The sequence below is a fragment of the Homo sapiens genome, chromosome 19 (assembly GCF_000001405.40).
Source record: "Homo sapiens chromosome 19, GRCh38.p14 Primary Assembly".
Classification (NCBI taxonomy): Eukaryota; Metazoa; Chordata; class Mammalia; order Primates; family Hominidae; genus Homo; species Homo sapiens.
The window spans coordinates 54,013,080-54,032,937 of NC_000019.10; the positions used below are offsets into that span (position 1 = coordinate 54,013,080).

Genomic DNA, 19,858 nt, shown 5'->3' on the forward strand with positions numbered 1-19,858 from the left:
TCTCAAGTGATCCACCTGTCTCAGCCTCCCAAAGTGCTGGGATTACAGGCGTGAGCCACCGTACCCCACCCAGATTTCCCCTTTACACATGACTCCTGTCATACGTGATTAGGATTTACCCCCAATGACCTTATTTTAACTTGATTATCTCTGTAAAGACCGTATCTCCAAATGAGGTCACATTCTTAGGTACTGGGGGTTAGGGTCCAACATATATATATATATATACATTTTGTAGGGGAGAACATTCAACCATTAACAGTGTATATATTCTAAATTGTGTTTTCTGGTCGGGTGTGGCGGCTCACGCCTGTAATCCCAGCACTTTGGGATGCCAAGGCGGGTGGATCACCTGAGGTCAGGAGTTCAAGACCAGCCTGGCCAACACGGTGAACCCCCGTCTCTACTAAAAATACAAAAATTAGCTGGGTGTGGTGGCAGGCACCTGTAATCCCAGCTACTCGGGAGGCTGAGTCAGGAGAATTGCTTGAACCTGGGAGTTGGAGGTTGCAGTGAGCCGGGATCTCGCCACTGCACTCCAGCCTGGGTGACAGAGCAAGACTCCGTCTCAAAAAAAAAAAAAAAAAAAAAAAAAATCAAAAAGGTGGGGGGAAGGGGGATTGGTTCAGGAAAGCCTTCCGAAGAAGATGACGAACTTGAGTCTTCAAGGTGAGTAAGAATCAGAGAAAGTGGAGAACGTCACGGGCGTTCCAGCTGGGTGGGAGAGCCTGGACAGAAACAAGAGGAAAAACATGATGAACCTGTGAGTGAGGAAATGTGAACGCTGGTGTTCAGAGTGAGACACAGGAAACGTGAGAGGGTTGGGGTGGGCTGTCTTATGAACAAGGTGGAGAGACTCAGATGCTCAACAGAACAGCTTGGCCTTTACCCTGAGGGTACTGAGGAGCCATGGGAGCTTGCTGAGCAGAGACACACTGGCATCAGGTCAAGGGGTTGAAACAAGGTTTCTTATTCTTGAAGTCACTAAATTGCAGACCCGGAAGACAGACTAGTGGTTGCCAGGTGTTAAGAAAAGGGTGAGTCTTGGCCCCACGCGACGGCTCATGCCTGTAACTCCAGCACCTTGGGAGGTCGAGGCGGGTGGATCACCTGAGGTCAGGAGTTCGAGATCTGCCTGGCCAACATGGTGAAACCCTGTCTCTACTAAAAACAAACAAACAAACAAAACAAATCAACAACAACAAAACATACAAAAATTAGCTGGGTGTGGTGGCTCACATCTGTAATCCCAGCACCTTCGGAAATGCCTGTTCTAATTTAGGTCCATGGGCACAGGCCCTAGGGTAGAGCCCTTGCCAGAGACCCTGCCCTTCTCTACCCAGCAGTTCTCTGCCCCCCTCCCATATCAAAATGCTTTTTCTGCATCTATTGAGATGATCATGTGATTTTATTTTTATTTTTATTTTGCAGTCTCACTCTGTCGCCCAGGCTGGAGGGCAGTGGTGCGATCTCGGCTCACGGCAACCTCCGCCTCCCGGGTTCAAGCAATTCTTGTGCCTCAGCCACCCCAGTACCTGGGATTACAGGTGTGCGCCACCAGACCCAGCTAATTTTTGTATTTTTAGCACAGATGGGGTGTCACCACGTTGGCCTGGCTGGTCTTGAACGCCTGACCTCAAGTGATCGTCCCACCTCCGCCTCCCAAAGTGCTGGGGTTACAGGCGTGAGCCACCGCGCCCAGCTGACCATGCGATTTTTGTTTCTAATTCTGCATTCTTCCATTCAACAAGCAGAAGTGCCCCGCAGTGCCTGGGCACCTGGGAGCCAGGCTGGTGTGAAAGCCCAGCTCCCCGACCTATGGCTGGGGCAACAGCTTCACCTCTCTCTGTCTTCGTTCCTTCATCCCTAAAGACGGTGCGTGAGCTCAATCCTGTACCTACTCCCAGGAGTCACCGTCGGGAGTAAACGCCATCATGAGCCCTGCAAAGCTCCCAGGAGACCGCCTGGCACGTGGTCGCAACTCGATCTGCCTTTGCTGTTAGTTTTTCTCAAGTGGCACTTACAGAGTAAACAGGGACCCCCGACGACGAGCTGACAGCCTGCTGATGGAAACAGATACTAATCACATCACTGAAGTAATGAGCGTGCAATTATAAACCAAGTTAAGTGCTAGGAGACAAGAGAGTCCACAATTTTTTTTTTGTTGTTTGACTTTGTGCCCAGCCAGGTCAGGGAAGCCTCAAGAGACATCTGCCATGGGGGTGGCGGAGATAGTTGGTCTTGGGGGAATGGCCCTTCCTTCCTTCCTTCCTTCCTTCCTTCCTTCCTTCCTTCCTTCCTTCCTTCCTTCCTTCCTTCTTTTCTTTCTTCCTCTTTCTTTCTTTCTTCTCTCTCTCTCTCTCTTTCTTTCTTTCCTTCTTTCTTTTTCTTTTTTTTTTTTTGAGCCGAAGTCTCGCTCTGTCACCCAGGCTGGAGCTCGGTGGTGCAATCTCGGCTCACTGCAAGCTCCACCTCCCAGGTTCACGCCATTCTCCTGCCTCAGCCTCCCGAGTAGCTGGGACTACAGGCGCCCGCCACCAAGCCTGGCTAATTTTTTTGTATTTTTTTTTAGTACAGACGGGGTTTCACCTTGTTAGCCAGGATGGTCTCGATCTCCTGACCTCATGATCCACCCGCCTCAGTCTCCCAAACTGCTGGAATTACAGGCGCGAGCCACTGCGTCTGGCCTCTCTCTCTTCCTCCCTCCCTCCCTTCCTTTCTTCCTTTTTCTTTCTTTCTTTCTTTTTTCTTCTTTCTTTCTTTCTTTGTTTCTTTCTCTTTCTCTTTCTCTCTTTCTCTCTCTCTTTCTTTCTTTCTCTCTTTCTTTCTTTCTTTTCAAGATGGAGTCTCACTCTGTCCCCCAGGCTGGAGTGCAATGGCACAATCATGGCTCACTGCAGCCTCGACTTTCCAGGTTCAAGCGATTCTCGTGCTTCAGTCCCCCAAATCCCTGGGACTACAGGCACACACAGCCACAGCCAGCTAAGTTTTTGTATTTTTTGTAGAGATGGGGATCTCCCACTGTTGCCTACATTGGTCTTGCACTTCTGGTCTCAAGTGACCCACTCGCCCTGGCCTCCCAAAATGCTGGGATTACAGGCATGAGCTACCGTGCCTGGCCACTCTTCATTAAAAAAAAGATAAATAAATAGAGATGGGGTCTCACTGTGTTGCCCAGGCTGGTCTCAAACACCAAGGCTCGTATGATTCTCCTGCCTCGGCCTCCCAGGTACATGAACCACCGCACCTGGTGGGAATGGCTCTTTGTCCAGTGGGGTCATCATTCTGAAAACTCTTTCTTACCCGGGGTCAGGGCAGGGAAGGTTCAAAGCCAGAGACTCAAGAGAAAAGGGAGATGGCAATTTTCCCCCAAACCCTCCCTGACCACACTCCGAGTGGTTCCCCCACGGCCAGTTCAGGCTTCAGCTCTGGGTGGGGAGAGACTGGAGGGAGGGGAAGGCAGAGATATAACATAGATTGATCAGAAGTGGGAGAAGGAATTACAGACCTCACAAAGACAAATGACTGGAATCACATCATCCTATGAAACAATGTATTGTTGGGGCTCAGAAAACAATACCCCCGAAGTAAGGATGACGTTTGTCAGGTGGAGCATTTGAACTAAAGGAGATTAGAAGGTCTCAGAGGCGGCCGGGCCATCATCTCTACAAAAAATACAAAATAACTAGCTGGGTATGGTGGTAAGTGTCTGTAGTCCCAGTTACTGAGGAGGCTGAGGCAGGAGAATCACTTGAACCCAGGAGATGGAGTTTCAGTGAGCCGAGATCATGCCACTGCACTCCAGCCTGGGTGACAGAGTGAGACCCTGTCTCAAAATAAAATAAAATAAATAAAATAAAATAAAATAAATTAGCTGCTGCTGCTGCTGATGCACAGTGCTATGTATGAGTGTTCCAACAGTAGCTATTTTAATTAAATTAATTTTTTTGAGACAGGGTCTCTCTCTTTCACCCAGGCTGGAGTGCCGTGGCGTGATCACAGCTCACTGCAGCCTTGACCTCCCAGGCTCAAGTGATCCTCCCACCTCAGCCTGCTGAATAGCCGGAACTGCAGGTGCATGCCACCACACCAGGCCAATTTAAATTTTTTTTTTAAAGAGATGAGATTTCACCATGTTGCCCAAGCTGGTCTTGAACTCCTGAGCTCAAGCGATCTGCCCACCTCAACCTCCCGAAGTGCTGCAATTACAGACATGAGCCATCGCGTCCAGCCTATTTTAATTTTATAACCTCTCATGAAATCTCTCCTTCCTCAATTTCTCTTCTGAGGGTTCTGACTTTAGCCGGAATTGGAAAGAGGCCCAATGCTTCATGAAGGATGACAGCTGGAGAAGTACTAGAAGGTTGCCTGGCAACAGTGGTGTTAGGGCAGAAAGGAGCAAGTCCCTGGGTGGTTTCCTAGCAGAAGGAATGTGGGCAGGGCTGAGCCTAGGAAGCAAGATAGGAGATGACAAGGGTGCCCAGATCATCAACTTCTGAAGAATTTCTCATCCCTGCACCCCAGAGCCTCTGGACACAGCCCATCTCTCATCTCTCTCTCTCTCTCTCTCTCTGTCTCTCTCTTTTTCTCCCCTCCCTTCTCATCTTTTCCTCGTCTTTTTTCCCTTTCCCTCTCATCCCTCCCTCCTCCTCCTTTTACTTCTTTCTTCCTTTTCTTCTTCCTCTTCCTCCTTCTCCTATTACTATTACTACTGATAATAACAATAGCTAACATTTGTTAAATGCCTCATCTGAGAGATTTTCTTTCGGGGTGATTAAAAGTTTCTGATGCTAGGCCAGGTGCTGGGGCTCACACCTTTAATCCCAGCACTTTGGGAGGCCAAGTTAGGCAGATCGCTTGAGCTCAGGAGTTCAAGAACAGCCTGGGCAACATGGTGAAAGCCAGTTCCCTATAAAAAAAAAATACAAAAATTAGCCAGGCATGGCGGTGCATGCCTGCGGTCCCAGCTACTCGGGAGGCTGAGGTGGGAAGATCACTTGAGCCCAGAAGGTCAAGGCTGCAGTGAGCTGTGATTGCACCCTTGCAATCCAGCCTGGAAGACAGAGTGAGACCCTGTCTTGAAAAAAAAGAAAAAAAAAAAAGGCCAGGCGCGGTGGTTCACGCCTGTAATCCCAGCACTTTGGGAGGCTGAGGTGGGCAGATCATGAGGTCAGGAGATCGAGACCATCCTGGCTAACATGGTGAAACCCCGTCTCTACTTAAAAAAAGTACAAAAAATTAGCTGGGCGTGGTGATGGGCACCTGTAGTCCCAGCTGCTCGGGAGGCTGAGGCAGGAGAATGGCACGAACCCAGGAGGTGGAGGTTGCAGTGAGCCAAGATCACACCACTTCACTCCAGTCTGGGCAACAGTGCAAGACTCCGTCTCAAAAAAAAAAAAAATTTTTTTTCCTGACACTAGATAGTGGCAATGCTTGCACAACATTTTGGAGGTACTTATGTACTTAGTATCAGTAAGTATAGTACATTTTTTAAATAGTTAGAATGGTAAAATCTTGCTTTAAGTAACGGTAAGATTTTACCACAAAAATAAAGTCCAGGCATGGGTAAAGAATAGTTTACGACCACTATGAAATAAAGAGAAGTGAGCATGAGGAGGTTCTGAAATGGGTATCACTCCCTGATAAGAAGCTAGAAGGAGGCCAGGCGCGGTGGCTCACGCCTGTAGCCCCAGCACTTTGGGAGGCTGAGGTGGGCAGATCACGAGGTCAGGAGTTCAAGACCAGCCTGGCCAATATGGTGAAACCCCATCTCTGCTAAAAATACAAAAATTAGCTGGGCATGGTGGTAGGTGCCTGTAATTTCAGCTACTCGGAAGGCTGAGGCAGGAGAATCGCTTGAACCTTGGAGGCGGAGGTTGCCTCCAAGATCACGCCACTGCACTCCAGCCTGGGCAACAGAGCGAGACTCCGTCTCCAAAAAAAAAAAAAAACAAGGAAGATAGAAGGGGAGAAGGGAGTTGTTGAGCTGTTGCCTCACCCTTGAGCATGGTCTGGACAGGACACAATGTGTGGAGCTGCCCCGGGTCATGGGTGACCAGGAGGCAACAGGCCAAACATTGAAGACATGAGTGGTAAAACAGAAAGGGCTTGGTTCTTAGCAACATGCATGAGTTTTTGCACAAAATCTTCCTGTTAGGCAAGGTAACTAAATATCTTTTTTGTTTAGGTAATCAGTTCTTCAAAACTGAGCCCATGTTGATAAGTTACTCCACCAAAGGGTGGAGTACAGTAAAGAAATGAGGCTTGTGGTTACAGATGAAGCAATGTCTTTGAGAAAAGCCCTTCTTTGCCACAATCACTTTTTTTTTTTCTTTTGAGACAGGGTCTCTCTCTGTCGCCCAGGTTGGAGTGCAGTGGCGTGATCTTGGCTCACTGCAACCCCTTTCCCCCTGGTTCAAGCGATTCTCCTGCCTCAGCCTCCTGAGTAGCTGTGATTACAGGCACCCACCACCACGCCCAGCTAATTTTTGTATTTTTAGTAAAGACGGGGTTTTGCCATGTTGGCCAGGCTGGTCTTGAACTCCTGACCTCAGGTGACCCGCCCGCCTCGGCCTCCCAAAGTGCTGGATTAGGCCTATAAAAGCCATTTTAACTGCGGTGAGAGGATATATGTGTCATGTAGTTTAGCCAGGCATCGTGGTGCACACCTGTAGTCCCAGCTACTCAGGAGGCTGAGGTGGGGGGATGACTTGAGCCTGGAGGCTGCAGTGAGCCATGATCGTGTCCCTGCATTCCAGCCTGGGCAACAGACCCTGCCTCAAAAAAAATACATAAAATAAAAATTAAACTGAAATAGGGTTGCCAGATTCAATGTAGGATGCCCAGTTGATTTCAAAACTCAGATAAACAACAAATAAAATGTTTAAGTCTAAGTACAGCCCCCAAACTGCATGAGATATACTTACATTCAAAATTTTTTTGTTTATCTAAAACTTTAAATTTAACTGGGCATCCTGTATTTTAATGTCCCAAGTCTAGCAATTCTATTTTAAAAGAATCCCTCTGTCTGCTACGTTGAGAGCAGATGGTCAAGGCGGGAAATGAAGGTAGAAGCAGGGAGATGGTTTAGGACGCTATTGTGATCAGGTGAGAAGGGCTGAGTCAGACCAGAGGGTGCCAGCAAGGCTGAAGACCCACCCTGTTCCCAGCCCCGCCCCTCCTGCTGCCCTTAACTGATGTGACACAATCCTTGTGAGGTCTGTGGACAGAGCGGGGGAACTGCACGGAATCTGACAATATCAACCTAAAAATTATTCACTGCCTACTCATTTCCCGTGCAAGGACAAACAAGAGTGCTGAAATGCGAGGCTTGCAAAGCCACAAGATAGGGAGGGCTTAATCATTTGCTTGCCTGCCTTATCAGTGTTACGAAGGCATTTTCCACCTTCCACTTCCTTTTCCGTTTGGACAAAAATTCAAACTTCTAGGCCAGGCGCGGTGGCTCACCCCTATTATCCCAGCACTTTGGGAGGCCGAGGCGGGTGGATCACTTGGGGTCAGCAGTTCGAGACCAGCCTGGCCAACATGGTGAAACCCCGTCTCTATTAAAAATACAAAAATTAGCTGGGCCTGGTGGTGCATGGCTGTAATCACAGCTATCTGGAGGCTGAGGCTGGAGAATCGCTTGAACCCAGGAGGCGGGGGTTGCAGTGAGCTGAGATTATGCTACCGCACTCTAGCCTGGGCAATAGAGTGAGACTCAGTCTCAAACAAAACAAAACAAAACAAACAAAAAAAACCACACGCACACACACACACTCAAACTTCTTTTATTTTTTGAGACAGATTTTCGCTCTTGTTGCCCAGCCTGGAATGCAATGGCACGAGCTTGGCTCACTGCACCCCCCCTCTCAGGTTCAAGCGATTCTGCTGCCTCAGCCTCCCAAGTAACTGGGATTACAGGCATGCGCCACCACGCCCGGCTAACTTTGTATTTTTAGTAGAGATGAGGTTTCTCTATGTTGGTCAGGCTGGTCTCCTGCCTCGGCCTCCCAAAGTGCTGGGATGACAGGCATGAGCCACTGGGCCCAGCTACATTCAAACTTCTTTTTTTTTTTTTGAGACGGAGTCTCGCTCTGTCGCCCAAGCTGGAGTGCAGTGGTGCGATCTCAGCTCACTGCAAGCTCCGCCTCCCGGGTTCACGCCATTCTCCTGCCTCAGCCTCCCAAGTAGCTGGGACTACAGGCGTCCACCACCACACCTGGCTAATTTTTTGTATTTTTGGTAGAGACGGGGTTTCACCGTGTTAGCCAGGATGGTCTTGATTTCCTGACCTCGTGATCTGCCCCGCCTTGGCCTCCCAAAGTGCTGGGGTAACAGGCGTGAGCCACTGCACCCGGCCCCACATTCAAACTTCTTATCACAACTTGCAAAGTTCTGCATGATCCGGGCTTAGCACCTCCCTTCTCCTGCTGTGCTCTAGCCGGCTCACTTTGCCTCAGCCACGCTGGCCTGTGTCCATTCTTGGAACTAGTACTGGCCAGGCTTGCTCCTGCCCCAGGGCCTTTGCCTGCGCTGTGCCTTCTGCCTGAAGTGTCATTCTCTTTGCATTTCTCATGGCTGGATACTTACACTGTTTTTAATTCTCAGCTTCAACATATTTTCATCCAAGTCTTCCCTTACCCACTTTGCAAAGGAAAGACCCACCTCCCATACACTCATTGTGTTATAGTGCATCCCTCTTGATTTCTAGCATGTCTCTTGTTACAATCTACAGTTTGTTGTTTTTTTCTTTCAGATGGAGTCTTGCTCTGTCGCCCAGGCTGGAGTGCAGTGGTGTGACCTCAACTCACTGCAACCTCTGCCTCCCGGGTTCAAGTGATTCTCGTGCCTCAGCCTCCCAAGTAGCTGGGACTACACGCGTCCACCACCACGCCCAGCTAATTTTTGTATTTTTAGTGGAGATGGGGTTTCACCATGTTGGTCAGGCTGGTCTGGAAGTCCTGACCTCATGATCCGCCAGCCTCGGTCTCCCAAAGTGCTGGGATTGCAGGCATGAGCCGCCGCACCCAGCCAACAGTAACAGTCTTTTCAAAATGCCTGGTCCATAGTACGTGCTCGACAAATATTTGTGAAATCACTGGATACATAAGACAGTTCCAGGGAAGGGGAGTAGCTTGCTCAGAACAGGGAAGCTGCCCAGGAGTCTTTCCCCTGATTCTCAGACCACGATCCCGTGCTCAGCTCCTCGCGGATTCAAGGCTGATGAAGGCAAGGGCCACACTGTCACCCACTCTTTGAAAGCCCCAAACCAGAAGTCATTCCGGGGTGGCTGTTCAAGGTTCTTCACTGATCAGGTCTCTTGGTAACAAGTGTTGGCCTCCCACAGGTACATGTCAGCATCTCCTTCCTTTCAGAGGCTGAATGCTTGTCCATTTATGTAGATCCCACACTTTCTTTACACATTCATTCATTGATGGCACTTACATTGCTTCCATTTCTTGGTTTTTGTGAATAATGCTGTTAAGAACATCAACGTATAAATTATCTCTTCCGGCCGAGCGTGGTGGCTCACGCCTGTAATCCCAGTACTTCGGGAGGCCAAGGAGGGTGGATCACTTGGGCCCAGGAGTTCAAGACTAGCCTAGGCAACATGGTGAAACCCTGTCTCTACAAAAGTAAAATAAAATAAAATTAAAATTAAAAGTAGCTGGGCTTGGTGGTGCATGCCTGTAGTCCCAACTATTCAGGAGGCTGAAGTGAGAAGGTCGCTCGAGCCCAGGAGGTCGAGGCTGCAATAAGTAAGCCAAGATCACACTACTGTATTACTCACCAGGCAACAGAGAGAGAGACCCTGTCTCAAAAATAAATACACAGATAGGCTGGGGGCAGTGACTCATGCCTGTAATCCTTGGCTTGGGAAGCCGAGGAGGGTGGATCACCTGAGGTCAGGAGTTCAAGACCACCCGGGTCAACATGGCAAAACCCCATCTCTACTAAAAATACAAAAATTAGCTGGGCATGGTGTTAGGTGCCTGTAGTCCCAGCTACTCGGGAGACTGAGGCAGCAGAATCACTTAAACCCAGGAGGCAGAGGTTGCAGTGAGCTGAGATCGCACCACTGCATTCCAGCCTGGCTGACAGAGTGAGACTCCGTCTCAAAAAATACATACATACATACATACATATCTCTTCAAGATCCTGCTTGGAATTCTTTTGGGTATCTCCCCAGAAATGGAATTGCTGGATCCCATGGTAATTCTATTTTATGAGTTAGAACTTGATGGCCTGAATTTTTGTGGTGTCAGCTGCAGACTCACAGTGAGGGAAGCCCAGGAGGGGATGGGCTTTAAGAGGATGATGCTGCAACAGAGGGGCTTTAGTTAACACGGATGTGCTGTGTTCTTGAGCCTTCCTAAGAGAGTAGATTGTAAGTGTTCTTACCACACACACAAAAATGATAAATGTGAGGCAATGCACATGTAAATTAGCTCAATTTAGCCTTTTCACAACGTATACTATTTCAGCACATCATGTTGTACACCATAAGTACATACAATTTTTATTTGCCCTAAAAAATAAATCAGTAATGCTTAAAAAAATTAAATTTCATATTGTAGGGGGGGAAACAGTGCATGATGTTGCAATGTACTGCGTTTCATTTCCTGAAGCGTCAGCGAAAGACCAGCCCTGGGGTAGAAGACCGGAGCGGAGGGAGCGTGGCCTCCCCAGCTCCCCACTTCCTTCTCAAGCTGCAGGCTGAACTAGGGTCTCTGGAACTGGGCTAAGGCGCCCCCGTGTCTGCAGCCTCTCTGCGGGGCTTCATGGACTCCAGCAAAAGGCTTGAGGCTGGAAACGAGGGTATGAGCGTGCGGAGAGGTAGGGTGAGGTTGGGTTTCTGCAAGGAAATAATAATCACCGTGCTTAACTGATGTACTAGGCACCAGGCTGAAGGCCCCATCAGCTGGCGAGGCTGGGAGAGAAATTGACATCCCCTCTTGCTGCCCCGCCGTTGGCTGGAAACAGTCATGAGCCGCCACCTAGCGGCGAAAATGACAGCAACAACTTGGACCTAGAGCTGGGGCCACGGAACGAAAGGCGTCATCCCTTTAAATTAGGACAATTGCCCTCTCTCAGGGCAGCTTCTCTGTTCTGGTTACCTGCTGACTTACACCCAGTCACCCCAAACTTCGTGGCAAAAAACAACTGCTATTTATCCATCCATCCTTCCTTCCTTCCTTCCTTCCTTCTTTCCTTCCTTCCTTCCTTCCTTCCTTCCTTTTATGAGGCAGAGTCTCGCTCTGTCGTCCAGGCTGGAGTGCAGTGGTGCGATCTTGGCTCACTGCAGCCTCCATCTCCCGGGTTCAAGCGGGATTCCCCTGCCTCAGCCTCCCTGCTAGCTGGGATTACAGGTACGAGCCACCACGCCCAGCTAATTTTTGTATTTTTAGTAGAGACGGGGTTTCACCACGTTGGCCAGGCTGGTCTTGAATTCCTGACCTTAGGTGACCCGCCTGCCTCAGCCTCCCAAAGTGCTGGGATTACAGGTGTGAGCCACCACGCCCGGCTATAGTTTATTTATACTCGTAGATTCTAGCAGTCAAGAATTTGGACAGAGTACAGCAAGGGTGGTTTTATCTGCAGCCTCAGCTGCAAAGACTGGAATGGAGGGTGCCGGAATTATCTGGAAGATCTGGGAGCGTCTTCACTCATACGTCCGGTGTCTGGGCTGGATGACTCCACGGTTGTGCGCAGCTGGAGGACAGCTGACCCGAGTGCCCACACGTGGCCTCTCTGTGTGACTTGGGCTTCCTCACAGCATGGTGGTCTCAGGACAGGCAGACTTCCTGCATGACGTTTGGTTCAGCAAACAAGGCAGAAGGTGAATCACCTTTTATGATCTAGACTCAGAAGTTGCCTCTAGGCTGGAGTGCAGTGGTGTAATTATAGCTCACTGCAGCCTTGACCTCCTGGACTCAAGAGATCCTCCTGCCTCAGCCTCCCAAATAGTTGGAACTACAGGCATATGCCACCATGCCTGGATAATTTTTAGTTTATTTGTTAAATGTAGAGACGGTGTCTATTCTGACTCTATCAGCCGAAGCAGTCAGGGACTCACCAATATTTCAGAGCAAGGAGCTATAGACTGCACCTGTAGAAGGGAGAATGTCAGCTGGGCGCGGTGGCTCATGCCTGTAATCCCAGCACTTTGGGAGGCCGAGGCAGGTGGATTACCTGAGGTCAGGAGTTTGAGACCAGCCTGGCTAACATGGTGAAACCCCGTTTCTACTAAAAATACACACACACACACACACACACACACACACACACACACACACACACACAAAATTAGCCAGGCATGGTGGCGGGTGCCTGTAATCCCAGCTACTCTGGAGGCTGAGGCAGGAGAATTGCCTGAACCTGGGAGGTGGAGGTTGCAGTGAGCTGAGATCGTGCCATTGCACTCTAGCTTGGACAACAAGAGCGAAACTCCATCTCAAAAAAAAAAAAAAAAAAAGAAGAGAGAATGTCTAACAACTTGCAGCTGTGTTTTAAAACTGGATGTTCTCCCTGAGGACTTGAATATAAAGCTTTGTCAGTTGCTTGGTGTGGTGAAGCAATGAGAGTGTTTTTTTCGGGGGAGGAGGTGTCAGATAGATCAAGAATTTATAATTAGCATAAGAAATGTACTTCTTAACAAAGCCAGCCTGGGCAACATAGTGAGATTCCCATCTCTACAAAAAAAAAAAAAAAAAAATTAGCCCAGTGTGGTGGTGCACACCTGTGGCCCCAGCTACTTGGGAGGCTGAGGCAGGAGGATTGCTTGAGCCTGGGAGGTCAAGGCTGCAGTGAGCTATGATTGTGCCACTGCACTCCAGTCTGTGTGACAGTGCAAGACCCTGTCTCAAAAAATAAAAAGAAAAAAAAAGAAACATACTAAAAAAGGACACATATTAGCAATATGAAACAAGAACAATTTTCCATAAAGCAAGAGGCTTATGGAAATAAAAAGTATAAAAATACATGATGGTAAAAAATATATAACATTATCCTCTAACAGAATAGGCAGTAGGGTGGGTGCCGTGGCTCACGCCTGTAATCCCAGCACTTTGAGAGGCTGAGGTGGGATGATCACTTGAGACCAGGAGTTCGAGACCAGTCTGGGCAACATGGTGAGACCGTGTCTCTTTAAAAAAAAAAAAAAAAAAGGCAGAATTGATACAGCTGAAGAAAAATGAACAAGTAAGAAAATGTGGTGGAGGAACTTCTCCAGGAAGCTGATATAATTATATTAAGATCAGAAAAAATAAGAGAAAAGTCATCGTACGATATAAGGGACAGGTGTTTCTCAAAATCCAAAATCTTCTCTGCTAAGAGAATCCTGATTTTGTTTTTGTTTTTGTTTCTTGAGATGCAGTCTTGCTCTGTCGCCCAGGCTAGAGTGCAGTGGTGCAATCTCAGCTCACTGCAAACTCCACCTCCCAGATTCAAGTGATTCTCCTGCCTCAGCCTCCCCAGTAGCTGGATTACAGGTGCTCGCCACCACACCCAGCTAATTTTTGAATTTTTAGTAGAGACGGGGTTTCACCATGTTGGTCAGGCTGGTCTCAAACTCCTGACCTCGTGATTCGCCCACCTCAGCCTCCCAAAGTGCTGGGATTACAGGCCTGAGCCACCGCACCCAGCCGAGAACCCTGATTTTGTTCAGGTGTCAGTTGGCCACCCTTGTTCCTTGGAGACTTGGCCCTTTTCTAGTTTCAGGCATGAATCTTGATTAGTCTAAGGCTTAGTGACGTGCTGGTTGTGAAAGTGTGGTCCCTGAACCAGCAGCGTCAGCATCACCTGGGAGCTCGTCAGAAAGGCAAATTCTTGAGCCCCACCCCAGACCTACTGAATCAGTCAGAAACTCTGAAGGTGAGCTTTTCCTTTCTCCTCCTCTCCAACCTATGGTTTGACAAGTCCTCCAGGTGATTCTGATGCACACTGAAGTTTAAACACCTTTAGCCCAGTTAGGTAAACTCACGCCCACTGCTAGTGGTTATTTAAGGAAGGGGCTGGATGCAATTGTGTTTCTTGAGATGTGAGTGGAAATCTCGTGGGAGGCTTCCTCATGTTGGAGAGGGCCGCGTTGGAAGGGCCTTTCTATGCCCTTCGTCTGCTTTTTATCTCATCCTTTCCAAAAAATTAACTTTTTATTTATTTATTTGAGACAGAGTCTTGCTCTTGTCGCCCAGGCTGGAGTGCAGTGGCGCGATCTCGGCTCACTGCAACCTCCACCTCCTGGGTTCAAGCAATTCTCCTGCCTCAGCCTCCCGAGTAGCTGGGGCTACAGGCACCTGCTACTATGCCCAGCTAATTTTTGTATTTTCCGTAGAGACAGGGCTTCACCATGTTGGCCAGGCTGGTCTCAAACTCCTGACCTCAAGTGATCTGCCCACCTCAGCCTCCCAAAGTGCTGGCATTACAGGAGCGAGCCACCTCACCTGGCTTAACTTTTTATTTTAAAATAGTTCTGGAGGCCAGGTGTGGCAGCTCACGCCTATAATCCCAGCACTTTGGGAGTCTGAGGCAGAAGGATCTCTTGAGCCCAGGTGTTCAAGACCAGCCTGGGCAACATGGCAAAATCCCATCTCTACAAAAAAGTTTTTAAAAATTAGCATTTGCCTGTGCGTCCAGCTTCTCAGGAAGCTGAGGCGGGAGGATCACTTGAGCTTAGGAGGTCAAGGCTGCAGTGAGACACCATACTGGGATTACAGGCGTGAGACACCACTCCAGGTCTGGGTTCTCTTTTTTTTTTTTTTTTTTTTTGAGACAGAGTCTCACTCTTTCGCCCAGGCTGCAATGAAGTGGCACCATCTTGGCTCACAGCAACCTCCACCCCGCAGATTCAAGCGATTCTCCTGCCTCAGCCTCCTGAGCAGCTGGGATTACAGGCGCCCGCCACCAAGCCTGGCTAATTTTTATATTTTAGAGATGCCCAGGCTGGAGTACAGTGGTGCGATCTCAGCTCAACACAACCTCCACCTCCCGGATTCAAGTGATTCTCCTGCCTCAGCCTCCCCATTAGCTGAGATTACAGGCATGCACCACCACGCCCGGCTAATTTTGTATTTTTAGTAGAGACAGGGTTTCTCTGTGTTGGTCAGGTTGGTCTCCAATTCCTGACCTCCGGTGATCTGCCTGCCTCGGCCTCCCAAAGTGCTGGGATTACGGGTGTGAGCCACTGTGCCCGGCTGATCTTACATTTTCTTGTGCACTTATTCATGAGCTTTTTTTTTTTTTATGAAAATGAATTCCTACCATCCATTCTCCTTCCAAACTGCTCATACCCAGTATTCCCAAGGTTTTTGCACATGTATATAACAGAATGTCAAAGTAGATTCATTGCAATCTCAGTTTCTGCTCAGGCCCAAAGATTATAGATGCCAGCGAGGTCAGATCTCACAGTAAGGCCATTTCTGCATGACTTCAGGAGAAAATGCTGAAAACCTAATTTCCCCACACCCTTGGCCTCTTGTCCACCTGAAGGTAAGAAAGGAGTGTTGGGGGGAAGGGGGAGGGATAGCATTAGGAGATATACCTAATGCTAAATGACGAGTTAGTGGGTGCAGCACACCAGCATGGCACATGTATACATATGTAACTAACCTGCACATTGTGCACATGTACCCTAAAACTTAAAGTATAATAATAATAAAATAAAATAAAAATAAATAAATAAATAAAAATTAAAAAAAGAAAAAAAAAAGAAAGGAGTGTTGAGATTAGAAGGTATTTTTTTTCCTATTGGGATACAGGTGGTGTTTGGTTGCATGAGTAAGTTCTTTAGTGGTGCTTTGTGAGATTGTGGTGTAGCCATCACCCAAGCAGTATACACTGCACCCCATTTATAGTCTTTTATCCCTCGCCCCCCTCTCACCTTTCCCCCCAAGTCCCCAAAGTCCATTGTATCATTCTTATGCCTTTGCATCCTCATAGTTTAGCTCCCACATATCAGTGAGAACATATGATGTTTGGTTTTCCATTCCTGAGTTACTTCACTTAGAATAATAGTCTCCAGAGATTAGAAGAGTTTTTGTTTTGTTTTGTTTCTGTGTGTTTGTTTACGTAAGCTGTTGGTGTGCTGTGAGTCCCATCCTCTGTCCACCGTAGATGTGTGATGGAGGATGACAGTCTCTTCAACTGGACAATTCAGAGTAGTTATATGGGGTGAGGGGCGGGTCCAGAGAGGAATGGGGTCTGATATGGTTTGGCTTTATGTCCCCACCCAAATCTCATCTTGAATTGTAATCCCCAGGTGTTGGGGGAGGAACCTGGTGGGAGGTGATTGAATCATGGAGGTGGCTTCTACCTTGTTGTTCTCATGATAAAGTGAGTTCTCAGGAGATCTGATGGTTTTATAAGCGTTTGGCAAGTTCCTCCTTTGCTTGCTCTTCTCTCTCTCTTGTTGCCTTGTGAAGAAGATATTTGCTTCTCCTTCCCCTTCTGCCATGACTGTAGTTTCCTGAGGCCACCCTAGCCATGTGGAATTGTAAGTCAATTAAATCTCTTTCTTTTTTTTTTGAGACTGAGCCCCCCTGTCATCCAGGCTGGTGTGCAGTGGTGCAATCTCAGCTCACTGCAACCTCCGCCTCCTGGGTTCAAGCGATTCTCCTGCCTCAGCCTACCGAGTAACTGGGACAACAGGCATGCGCCAATAGCCGGCTAATTTTGTATTTTTAGTAGAGGTGGCGTTCACCATGTTGACCAGGCTAGTCTCGAACTCCTAACCTCAAGTGATCCGCCCACCTCAGCCTCCCAAAGTGCTAAGATTACAGGTGTGAGCCACCACACACGGCCTCGGCTATTTATAGCAGTGTGAGAACGGGCTAACACAGGGTCTTTCCTCACTGGAGAGAGAGGGTGGGAGGAGAGAGAGAGGGTGGGAGGGGAGAGAGGGGAGAGGGGAGAAATGGGGGAGGGGGGGAGAGGGGGGAGAGAGAATGAATATGAGAATGAATGTACCAGGAGCTTTTATCCTTTGCAGGAGCGCCACCTGGAGGTAGGAGGTGAAGTCTGCAGAGAGAAGCTGGAAATGTACTGACGGATCCCCAAGGATTCAGTAATGTGACCAAGTGGAGGAGCTGCATTTACAGGCATCAAGGGAACTGCAGGTGAGAGGTCTGCAGCCTTGCAAGAGAGTGGGGGAAGCAGGAGAAGCTCCACGTGGGGAGATAAAGGAAAAGCTGACCACGCTTCCTCCACGTTGCAGGCAACCTGCCGAAAGGATTTTAATCACTGAGCTGACACTGTATTTTTTTCTTGTATGTGACTTTTTTAAGAAGCAGCTGGAAGTCTTTATGACCTAAGATGACTATAAAAATTATGAGAAGGCCGGGCGCAGTGGCTCACACCTGTAATCCTAGCACTTTGGGAGGCCAAGGTGGGCGGATCACTTAAGGTCAGGAGTTCGAGACCAGCCTGGCCAACATGGCGAAACCCTGTCTCTACTAAAAATACAAAAATTAGCTGGGCGTGGTAGCACATGCTTGTAATCCCAGCTGCTCGGGAGGCTGAGGCAGGAGAATCACTTGAACCTGGGAGGCAGAGGTTGCAGTGAACCATGACTGCACCATAGCACTCCAGGCTGGGCAACAGAGCAAGACTGTCTCAAAAAAAAAAAAAGTTATGAGACTTGCTTTACATGTCACCCAAGGGCACAGGTAAAGAATTAGACCTAGGAGTTGGGTTGATAGGGCAATGGGAAAAAAGAAAAAAATTGTTTACTGAATCAAGGGAATAATCACACCTACATCTTTGCAACTCACGTGCTTACAACTAGGGCAACCAAATTGTTCCGGTTCGCCCAGGATTTTCTCTGGTTTAGCCCTGAAATTTCTGTGTCCTGGGAAATTCCTCATTTCTATTTTAAAACCGAAAGTCCCACATCCTAAGACACACACACACGCCCCTGCACACACCAATCCTGGTAAAACGGTAACAGTTGGTCATACTATCTACAACAACCCTATTCGAGATCTGTGTCTTCACGATGAGGAAAGGCACATGCAGTTCTGGAGATTTTAACACGTGTTCCCAAGGTCACACAACCTGCCCTTGTATCCAGCACTGAAAGCAGATGACTCTCCTCTTTCCACGATTCTAAGCCTCTTCCCGTAGCATGTCCCATGTGGAGGAGAAAAGTTAAGAAAATGAAACTGGCCAAAACTTGCTACTGCATTTGTGATTTTAGAAAGTAAATGATCAGACATTATTAAAATTATCAATGCAAAAAGAAAGTGAGACTGAACAGATTGTTTACCTTAACAAGATCAAGTTAAACTCGTATAGGGCTTATATATAATGCCGCTTAAAAGCTCAAGTTTATGCGGGGCAGTTTTGGTGGAAGAAGCTCAGGCAGTCCCTCTGGTGGTCGTTATAGATCTGGCCGTGGAACTGGTGGATATGAAAACAGAAGGTTCTAAAAACAGCAGAAAAGGGCAACAGTTCTTAGCAGGAGAGACAGTGAGGAAAGCTGCAGGTTACTTGGAGACAGTCATCCCAAATGCATTAGAGGAGGTGTAAAAATCTGCCACAGAAGGAACAATGATCCATAGTCAGAAAAGTTACTGCAGCTTAAGCAGGAAACCCTTCTTGTTCAGGACTGTCATAGCCACAGTTTGCAAAAAGTGCAGCTATTGATTAATGTGATGTAGTGTCAATTAGAGGTACATCCCTGAGGTCTTTAAAACAAAACAAACTCAGCCAGGCACGGTGGCTCACACCTGTAATCCCAGTGCTTTGGGAAGCTGAGGCAGGCAGATCACCTGAGGCTGGGAGATTGAGACCAGCCTGGCTAACATGGTGAAACCCCGTCTCTACGAAAAATACAAAAATTAGCCCGGCATGGTGGTGGGCGCCTGTAATCCCAGCTACTCAGGAGGCTAAGGCAGGAGAATTGCTTGAACCCAGGAGGTGGAGGTTTCAGTGAGCCAAGATCGTGCCACTGCACTCCAGCCTGGGTGACAAGAGTGAAACTCCGTCTCAAAAAATAAATTAAATAAATAAATAATTAGCTGGACGTGGTGGCAGGCACCTGTAATCCCAGCTACTTGGGAGGCTGAGGCAGGAGAATCACTTGAGCCTGGGAGGTGGAGGTTGCAGTGACCAGAGATCGTGCCACTGAACGCCAGCCTGGGCAACAGAGCAAGATTCTGTCTCAAAAACAAAAACAAAAACAAAAAAAGGCTCAAGTTTATGAATGAACTGTTCATATCAGGTGATGGTCTTTCAAAATAATGACTGTTTTGTACCAACTATTGTGCTCATGTGATTGATTGAACAATGCTTCCAAAGAATTTGAAACAATAAGGCAAAGAAACCTAATGTTCATAACAGAAAAAAAAATTAAATGTATAGCACTAGAAAAATTGATTTTTTTTTTTTTGAGACAGGGTCTCACTCTGTCACCCAGGCTGGAGTGCAGTGGTGCAATGATGGCTCACTGCAGCCTCCACCTCCTGGGCTCCAGCGATCCTCCTGCCTCAGCCTCTAGAGTAGCCCGGACTACAAGCATGCACCACCATGCTCAGCTAATTTTTGTATTTTTAGTATAGACAGGGTTTTACCATTTTCCCCAGGCTGGTCTCGAACTCCTATGCTCAAGCAATCAACTTGCCTCAGCCTCCCAAAGTGCTGGGATTACAGGCATGAACCACAGAGCCTGGCATGATACTAGAAAAATTCTTTTTTTTTTTTTGACATTTAAGTTCAGGGGTACATGGGCAGGATGTGCAGGTTTGTTACACGGGTAAACGTGTGTCATGGGGGTTTGTTGTACAGATTATTTTTTTTCTAGTGTATTTACTACTTCCTGATTATCAGATTATTTTATCACCCAGTTATTAAGCCTAGTACC

At 47.9% G+C, this 19,858-nt stretch overlaps 2 annotated features.

Moving 5' to 3' along the window:
- Nucleotides 7,076-7,370: an enhancer, noted in NCBI's record as "tiled region #12456; K562 Activating DNase matched - State 5:Enh". NCBI's record gives its function as "activates a minimal TATA promoter and a strong SV40 promoter by Sharpr-MPRA in K562 cells {active_cell/tissue: K562}" and the evidence as "EXISTENCE:reporter gene assay evidence [ECO:0000049][PMID:27701403]".
- Nucleotides 9,710-9,913: a silencer, noted in NCBI's record as "fragment chr19:54526043-54526246 (GRCh37/hg19 assembly coordinates)". NCBI's record gives its function as "represses an EF-1alpha promoter that drives an FKBP-Casp9 reporter gene in an ReSE screen in K562 erythroleukemia cells {active_cell/tissue: K562}" and the evidence as "EXISTENCE:reporter gene assay evidence [ECO:0000049][PMID:32094911]".